At 35.0% G+C, this 9816-nt stretch overlaps 1 protein-coding gene across 1 annotated transcript; it reads right to left on the bottom strand.

Moving 5' to 3' along the window:
- Positions 1-2938: 2938 nt before the first annotated feature.
- On the bottom strand, positions 2939-9590 carry OR4N5 (olfactory receptor family 4 subfamily N member 5). Its single transcript, NM_001004724.2, has 3 exons — positions 9520-9590; positions 7199-7567; positions 2939-4685 (listed from the first exon to the last, which is right to left on the bottom strand). Exon 3 carries the CDS (start codon positions 4672-4674, stop codon positions 3748-3750), a length of 927 nt encoding a protein of 308 aa, NP_001004724.1. The 5' UTR covers positions 4675-4685; positions 7199-7567; positions 9520-9590; the 3' UTR covers positions 2939-3747.
- Positions 9591-9816: the final 226 nt, after the last annotated feature.

Genomic DNA, 9816 nt, shown 5'->3' with positions numbered 1-9816 from the left:
AATGTAAATTAGTACAGCCTCTAGGGAGAACAGTTTGAAGGTTCCTCAAAAAACTACAAATAGAGTTACCTTGCAATTCAGCAATCCCACTCCTAAGTATATACCCTAGAGAAAAAAAAACAGTATATCAAAAGATATCTCCACTCCCATATTTATTGCAGTACTATTCACAGTTGCCAATATTTGGAATCAACCTAAGTGTCTATTAACAGACAAATGGATAAAGAAAATATGGTACCTATACACAATGGAGTGCCATTCAGCCATAAAAGAGAATGAGATCCTATTATTTGCCAAAACATAGATGGAATTGGAGGTCATTATGCCAAGTGAAATAAGTCAGGTACAGAAAGACAAACTTCTAATATTCTTATATATGTGTATATATGTATCTATCTATAGCAAATTACGTAAGACATCATACTATTGCTTGTATAGTCAATATTCAGTGTATACTTATTTACATATGCCAACTTATTTGCCAGTCTACTTCTTTATTTTTTCCTTTAATTTAGTGTTTTTCTCCAGGATTCTTTTATTTGAAGAACTGCTATTAATATTTATTTATTAGAAGTTCTTAGGCAACAGATTCTCTCATTTTTGTCATAAGATGCTTTATCTCATCTTTACTTAAATGATTTACTTTATCTCACATAGACATTTAGGTTGATATTATCTTCTTTCATCAATTTAAAGATGTTTTTCCATTTTTCTCTGGCTTCTGTGTTTCTTTTATGAAGAAATTTATCAGTTCCCTTTAAACTAAAGGACAGCCTCTCATCCCAGCTGCTAAGATTCTCTGTTTTTAATTTTTATTGTCACACGTTGATGTGTTTAGGTCTTTTTCATTGTTGTTTATTCTGCTTGTGGTTCACCGTGTATTTTTTTCCTGTGGCTTATTGTCTTTTATCAGGTTTTAAAAGTTATTGGTAATTCTTTCCTCAAATATTTCACCTTTCTCATTCTCTTGTTTGCCTATCCACTTGGACTTCAATTATATATATAATTACATATATATGTAATTGAAATACATATATATATGAGATTTCACTGCATCTGACACATCTCTAATACTTTTTCTTGTATTTTTCCATTTTTCCTATTTGCATTCTTAATTTTAGTATTTTTATCGATTTAACTTCCAGCACACTCTGTAGTCTTCTCCTGTGTTTAATCTGATTTTAAACTCATCTAATGAATTTTTAATTTCAAAATTTTTTAGTTCTACAATTTTCATTTACTTCTCTTTATGGATTTTAATTGGTGAAATTTGCTATCCTTTTATCTATTTATTACACCTTTTCTTCTACTGTCTTGAACATACTAGTCATGATGATTATAATGTTACGGTTATTCACTTTCATACTCTGGGTAGACTCTGATTATATTCCAATTATTTATCTTTTTTTCTTTATTTCGAAAAATTTTTCACTCTTCTGGTGTTTCTTATGATTTTTATTAAATTATGGATATTGTTTATTAAAAATGATAGGTTGTATATGCTCCAGTTCATGTTACTTCCTGCAAAGAAAGTTCACACACCTCATTACAAGATGGACACAGAAGTAAATCCCCTTAATGCTGTGTTTCTCATTGTAAAAAATTTACCATCATTCTCAGTAAACTATTGCAAGAACAAAAAACCAAACACCGCATATTCTCACTCATAGGTGGGAATTGAACAATGAGATCACATGGACACAGGAAGGGGAATATCACACTCTGGGGACTGTGGTGGGGAGGGGGGAGGGGGGAGGGATAGCATTGGGAGATATACCTAATGCTAGATGACGAGTTAGTGGGTGCAGCGCACCAGCATGGCACATGTATACATATGTAACTAACCTGCACAATGTGCACATGTACCCTAAAACTTAAAGTATAATTAAAAAAAAAATTTACCTTTTAGGGAACATTTGGCAATATGTAGAAATATTTTTGGTTGTTACACTAAGAAAATGCTCCTGGCACCTAGTAAGTAGAGGTCAGGAATGCTACTAAACAACCTACAATGCACGGGGCAGCCTCTTACAACAAATAATTATTTTGTCCAAAACGCCAATCGTGCCGAAGTTAAGAAGCCGCGCCTTAATTTAAATAAAGGTTTTGTGGAGTTGAAGCTGATTTTCAGGTTTCATAGGACTCAGTCAATCTCTGGCTCATTCGTAGATTGCCAGGTTTAAAATCAGTCTCTGATATATTCTCAGGACTTCTAATTCACTTATGAAAGATTAAAATTTAGAAGTGAAGGAAGTGAATGTGCCTGATCATGTCTGATCTCAGAAGCTAAGCAGGATTGGGTCTGGTTAATACTTGGATGAGAGACCACTGAGTTATGTAGGCTTTAATAATAATACTAATAGTTTTAAAAGTAAATTTAAAAAATGAAATGAAGGAAGTGGTAATAGAGATTACAAAATGTAAGGTTTCCATTTTGTGTAGGGGTGTCTAATAGGACTAGAGCAATACTGAGTATTTTGTGCCTTCAAATGCTGTAATCGTGGAACTGGCAGTTAAAAAATGATTTCTGTGTTCCCTACATTCATAATCGCTGTGGGGACAGTTACTCCTTATATAGACCAATTTATTGGTAATGTTTAGAAATTTATTTTAGTAAGCCAGGTCTACAGCCTGGTCTTATAGTTCTTCAATGATTTGTAAGTATCTAATGCCTTATATATGCTTATTCAAATAATCAGAGTGGTTTAGTTATCTAAATAATAACTTGTATTACATATAACTATTGATCATTGCATTCAGGGTGAAATAATTTGTAAGTGAACTCAAGTTTTTATCTAATGTTTAAAAATTACCCATTAGGAATAAGCAGAAATCTCTGCAAAACTTTGAAATATATAGCTAAATTGTCTTTTCACAGTTTCTGATAAAATATAACAGTTTTAATTTTCTCTCTCTATCAAATTAGAAAAAGTAACTAGACCTTTTAAGTGTTGACATAAATAAAAAATACTTAGCAGCACGCACTTTCCACTTAATGATATTTTACTACTCATAGTTCTGTAATCAGAATCTTGAGGATCTTCCCTTAAGTCAAATAGGAAACATTAAAGAGTTACTCTCCTGCTTATTGTCTTTCAAGAATCTCCTTTTGAAATCTGAATAAATTGAACTTCTTATTGACTAAAATGCTCTACATAATTTTGCCCCTACCAAATTCTTTGACTTCAATTTTTGCCATTTTCACATTCACTAAATATAGTACAGCTGTTCTCTTCCTTTTTATGGTCATCAAATATAACAAGCTCATAAGATCTTTGGATTCTTGTACTAGTCAGCCTTTTTGCCTAGAATTTCTGTCCCCAGATATTTGCATGGTTGTTTCTTTCGAATCATATTGGTTTCAGCTAAACACCACTTGAGGCCTCACTTAACAACCAAAAGTAAGGTAATTACCACCTCCCCAGCTAATCTCTAGCATAATACCACTTTCTGCTTGCTACAGAACACTGTTTCTTTCTGAAACTATAGTTGTTTTTCAAATTTAATAAACTGTATTTATCCCCTTGAATAAATCTAATAACCTGTATTTATCCCCTTGAATATAAATCTAGGAGACCTGGAATCTTACCTGTCTCATTCATATGCCTGGAATAGTGCCTGAAAATGGGAAGTACTTAATAATTATAATACTTGCTAAATGACTGACTGATTCAATGCATGAATGAGGAAATGATTTAGCTAAATTCAACTGGACTTTCTCCGTTCTTGCTTTTCTCTTTCTTCTATTCAGCAAAACATATGTTGACTTAACAACTTCCTCATGGAAGCTTTCACCTCCTGGTTGCGAAGCGTATAAATAACAGGGTTCATCAAAGGAAAGATGACAGTATGGAAAAGAGAAACTACCTTGTCAGCTGGGAAAGCCTGGAAGGGGCAAGTGTAGATGAAAATAGCAGGTCCAAACATGAGAAATATAATGATAATATGGGTGGTGCATGTGGAAATAGCCTTGCTCTTTCCTTCAGAGGAGTGCTCCCTTATACGACAGAGGATGACTGCATAGGAGGCCAGAAGGCCCAGGAAGCACAGGAGGCTGAGCAGGCCACTGTTGGAGACCATCAGAAGCTCCACCACAAAGGTATTGGTGCAGGCCAGCTTGATGACCTGTGGAACATCACAGAAGAAGTTATCGAGCTGGTTTGGGCCACAGAAAGGCAAGTGCAGGATAAGGGCTACTTGTACAATGGAATGGATAAAGCCCCCAAGCCACAGAACCAACGATAATGCATAGCAGGCTCTAGGGTTCATGATGGTTGAATAGTGTAAAGGCCGGCAGATGGCGATGTAGCGGTCAAAGGCCATCACAACGAGGAGGAACATCTCTCCCGCTCCAAGAAAATGCAAGAAAAAGAGCTGAGTGATGCAGCTTCTATAGGAGATTACCTTCTTCTCAGAGAGGAAGTCCACCAACATCCTGGGAACCACAATGAAGGAGTAGGATGCATCCAGTAAGGCCAAGTTGCCCAGAAAGAAATAGAGGGGGGCTGTGAGCCCAGGGTCTGACTTTATGGTGAAAATGATGAGGAAATTTCCAGGGAGGATGATAAGGTAGAAAATTAAGACTAGCACAAAGACCAGAAGTTGAGCATCTTGAGACTGGGTCAGACCAAGAAGAATGAATTCTGTCACCACTGTGAGGTTCTGTGTTTCCATAATTTCTCACTCTGCAGAATAAAATAGGGCAAATTGTTATCTGTTATAACCACCTTTTCATCTGTTTTCTATCTCCTCTCCAGATAAGAACATTATTTGTCCCAACCAATGTTCCGTAGCTGAAGACAACTTATGTCTTGTATCCTGAGTTAACCCTTCTATTCTTCATCCTCTTTATTCCTCACTAAAATAAAATACGTTTTTAGGTAGCCACATTTCCATGCCCATTTAACCTCAGGCTTCTAGGTAACTTCACTCCTGTAGGATTCCAGGCTACTTTGCTTGAAGAATATTAGAAGTTGTCTTATTAAAGCATAACTTAAGCATGATCAAGTTTGTCTGTTTTGTTTGTTTTTGTTGCTGTTAGTGGTGGTCCACTGTCTCTAAATGTTAGATTAGTTGCTAGGTTTTAGTTCCCTTTCTTCCTGTCACAGAATAAAGTGCTTTCACAGTTGCTTCTGCCACCAGTTCCTATGGAATTCTTGGTTCCTGGTTGTTACCTATATGACTGGTTTCTAAATTTGTTCCTTGCTTATTCCCATCACATTGTTGTGCTTTGGTGCTCTTGTGTATTCTTACTTCAAACTGATCACCAAGATAGCAAGCAAGATCTGTATATTTCTCTTAACTTAGAGGAATTCCCTAGTTAAAGCCTTGGCTGAGTACCACTCTGAATCTGCTCTACAACCTGTTCTTAAGTTCTAGTTAATACTAATTCAGTTTCATCTGCTCTCTATATATCTATAACCTACTTCTTCTTCAGATCTCAGAGTGAGAGCCAAATGATATTCTTTTCACAAACATTTTTGCATAATACAAAATTTATCAGAATATGTAAAAGATTTTGACTATCTCGGCTAATAAAATTAAAATATAATAGAGCTGGAATTGGCCATACAGAACATATAATCTGATGTACTCATTTGAGAGTTGAAAAAATGCAATTGCAGAGAAGTTTTAAACTTGCAATGAGTTTTCTTTTCTCTCATTATCAAGTGATAGAGGAAAGCAGGTATTTATTCCTCAGTTTACACTTTTTAGGGAATTATTTATGTCTCATCAATTGGCAATATTTTATTTAGGCACTTAAGTAAATATGATGCTGCATGTCTAAATATTCCCCCTTTTCTGGCCATAGCTTTGTCTAAATAAGTATTCTATTCATGTCAGAGAAATCTGGAATTAAGGTTTAGTCTGTATACTAATCTCCAAAATTAGATGTGTTCACCCAAGGAGGTGCACAAGATAATCCATTGGGATGCATAAAAATAATGGAACTTCTCTGCATATTATTATAAGCTATGTTTTTAAAAATGTATTTGTTCACACCTGTAATCCCAGCACTTTGGGAGACCGAGGAGGGCAGATCACAAGGTCAGGAGATCGAGACCATCCTGGCTAACATGGTGAAACCCCATCTCTACTAAAAATACAAAAACAAAATTAGCTGGGTGTGGTGGCTGGTGCTTGTAGTCCCAGCTACTCAGGAGGCTGAGGCAGGAGAATGGTGTGAACCCAGGAGGCGGAGCTTGCAGTGAGCTGAGATCGCACCACTGTACTCCAGCCTGGGCAACAGAGCGAGACTCCATCTCAAAAAAAAATATATATATATATTTGTGATTGTATTTTAATGATCGTGTTGAGATTATTATAAAATGTTTTATAAATAAATACTCACATACGATGATACCATGCATGTTTCACTATTGCAATGAATGATTTCAAAGATGAAATATTATTAATGAAAACAAAATGCTATAATGTGATATGTACAAATGTTACCCTTGACTTTTGACTACATACAATATTTATTTTCAAAAGTGCTGTGGATACAATATCATGCAATGTGACAATAAAAAGGAAGTACTGATGCATGCTATAACATGTTGATGCTTGCACAAACTCTGTAAACATACTTAAAACCATTGAATTTGTATACTTTAAATGGTGAATTTTATAATGTGCTGATTACATTTCAATATAACTTTTTTTTTGAAGCAGTGCTACTGAATGTAGGGGAGGAGGACTGGAGGAGATAAATTCTTAATTGAAATTTGACAGAAATTACTAATGGCATCCCTAGAAAAAGGAACTAGAAAGAGAGAAGGGAGAAAAAGAATAAAGAAAAATCAGCCTTAAAAATCCGTAAGAAAATTCAGGGGAAACGTAGGTAATATATTAGCATTTTACAGCACGACTATTAGGAAACATCAGAACATTTGTTTTATGTGACTAGTAACATTCGTTAACTAGCAGCAAATGCTATGGAATAAGTACTTACAACACATGGGTACATATTTATGCATTCCAAATACATATTCACACTTGTATAAACACACACATAGTGAATCTAAGAAAACCGAAATAGGAAAAAAGTATTTTGGTGTTCTTCAAATTAGTTTAGGCATTTCTGTTTCTTTTTTACCCATTTAGACACCTCTTGGCTTCCACATTTATACCTTGCTCTGCCTACAGAAACCTGGTCTTAAGAACTTAAGTCAGAAGCTCCCTCCCCTAGTCCTACCTTTTATTCATTCCAGATGTTCAATTATAGTTAGTTATCTCATGCTTCTCCAGGTTGAGGATTCCAAGACACAGGGAGCACCTGAGAGTTTCAGCCTCTCTCACTCTTCCTTTGCTTTTATTTTCTACTATTTCCGTCTATTTTCTGTTAACTAACAGATGAAATTCCATGTTACTCAACATCTTTAATCCACTTTTCTTCTTTCCTTTGTCCTCATTTATGTACCTTTTGTTCTGTTGATTCTCAAATTGTATTTGTCACAGAGATGGAGGACACATATGCATTAGATGGGCATTCCTCTGTACAAAATGAGTTCCCGAAAAAAAAAAAGCACCAAACAATGGATCTCACAGGGGCAAACTTCTTGTTCTAGTCAGATAAGACAAAGAGGCATTGTCAGTGTAGGCCAAGACAGAAACCTAAATGATGGTCACCATCTCTAACCTTCCTTATTATTTCAACAGATATATATATACGTATAGATAGATAGATAGATATAGATAGAAAGATATACACACATACATATATGTACATACATACATACTCCTTTGGCACTGAAGATGCATAAGTGGAGAGGGTCCCCATACTGTCCCGCACAACAGCTTCCAGACTGCAGAGCAGTAAGCATCTGCAGGCAACACTGTGCATATCTCAATTCCAGACTGTTTTCAGACCAGCTCCTGAAGCCAAGTGTCTGGGGACCTGATCAACATCCTAGCAGCTCACTCCCTTATCCTTCCTCATTCACTTTATCTTGCTTCTTTCTTATTTCCCATCCTTCCCCATTCTCTTCCTGCTAATTCTGTCTTCATACACTCATTTACAACAATATTTCTTTACATTCTCTTTTAGCTTCTGTTTCCTGTTACTTGCTTTTTAATTTTTTCTTGCAATTTATCTTCCTAATCCCTTGCTTTTCCTCCCTCTTTGCTCTCTTCCTTGTCATTCTCTTTCTTCTTTCTCTCATTTGCCTACATTCTTTCAGTCTTAAGTAAGTTTCACCTTGTTCTTTACACATATTCTCCTTAAATATATTCAATGCCTACCCTTTACTGATTCTGAAATAATAAATTGCTTAACCTGTTCCAAGGTAGAGTGAGCACAGTAGTTAGTTGCTTCCTATGTATTTCATTCCAATGACTTTTTCTACAGACCTAAAGTGCTTTCCTTGCTCCCCAGTGCTAAGCCTTACTTCCTGAATATTATCTTCTTTGAAATTTACTGAGTCTGAATCACTCATTAATTACTTCAGGTTTTGTCACATGTTTTGTCTGTTTTTAACTCATCTTGATAAAAATGAGGCAAGTTATTTTGGTGTTCTAAAATAGGTCTCTGGTTTGAGAATTATTTTACCTTGCTGAGTTACCATATCTGCAATTTTAGGAAGCTTAGGCAAGTTATTTAATACAATTAATGACCTTAGGCAAGTCATTTAATTTTTAATATCTGTATTTTGAATCTATTAAAGAGAAATAATATATTCGCTGTTTTTACTTCACAGGGTAGAGGGAATATGATGATCAAATTAGGTGGTTAGGAGCTAATCCACATCTGTGTAAATGAAGAGAGGAAGCATTCAGTGATAAATACGTTCTAGCAAAAAATGGATACCATGTCAATAGATCTTTTGTCACTGCCCTGGGATTAATTCCAAGGGATATGATAACAGCTTGAATCTAAGTGGATTTCAGAGTAAGAAACTGTGGAGGTTCTAGGAAGGGTCTCAGTAAAGGTTTTCTTATCTAATTCAGACATGTTTGAGAATCATGTCTTTCTTGTTTTAGGATTGCTAACTCTGAGCCTTATATTGCTGGATGTAAGGACCATGTGCAGATGGGGAAACACATGTAACTGAGTGTGGAACCAGAGGTTTCCAAACTTGTGAAGTCAATGAAGTTTGTCTCTGAGACTCAGCCTGCCCTTTTTGACTGATTGTGATTCCTTCACTCTTCCTCCCTTTACCTTTGGTTTAGGATAAAGATGAAATCAGTCATTTGTATTATATACAAATTGAAATCCAGGTGGTGAATCTTCATAATCAATTGGTATTTTTATTTTTAAAACAATAGTAGAATTAAAAATTTTAGCACCTTTAAAATAGTACTAAGTATTAGATAATAGGAGGTTTATTTGAGAAACAGGTATATTTGAGAAAAGTGCTGAACACCTGAATTTACAACTCACCCTTACTCTGTTTCTGCAGCAGAATTCTGTTCTCATAAATTTCAAGGCAGCAGATAACCAAGACAAATAGTATAATTTTTCTTTTTTTTTCTTTTTCTCTATTTAATTTAAATATAAAGAATGATAAAAAATTTTACCTTGCCGGGAGCCAAATGCTACTCTCAAACAAGTGGCTATTCTTTTCTGTCTGATAAAAGGGAGATTAGCTAATTATTTCAGAATTTGTGCTTAAATATATATTCTCATGTTGGAATATTATAAATTCTGAAATCTCTATTCATTTGTAATACAATTAATGCAATAGAGAATGTACTTTGGGGTTTTACCGCTACCTGAATTCTGCAGAGTTCTACCAATGGGAATTATTAGACTGCCAATTAGAATTAGACAAAGAAAGAGACAAGAACATTTTAAAGATTAAATATTCAAAACAC

Source organism: Homo sapiens, chromosome 14 (genome assembly GCF_000001405.40).
Source record: "Homo sapiens chromosome 14, GRCh38.p14 Primary Assembly".
Lineage (NCBI taxonomy): Eukaryota > Metazoa > Chordata > Mammalia > Primates > Hominidae > Homo > Homo sapiens.
Note: the sequence above shows the minus strand (reverse complement) of the source record. Positions and strands in the feature narration are given on the sequence as shown.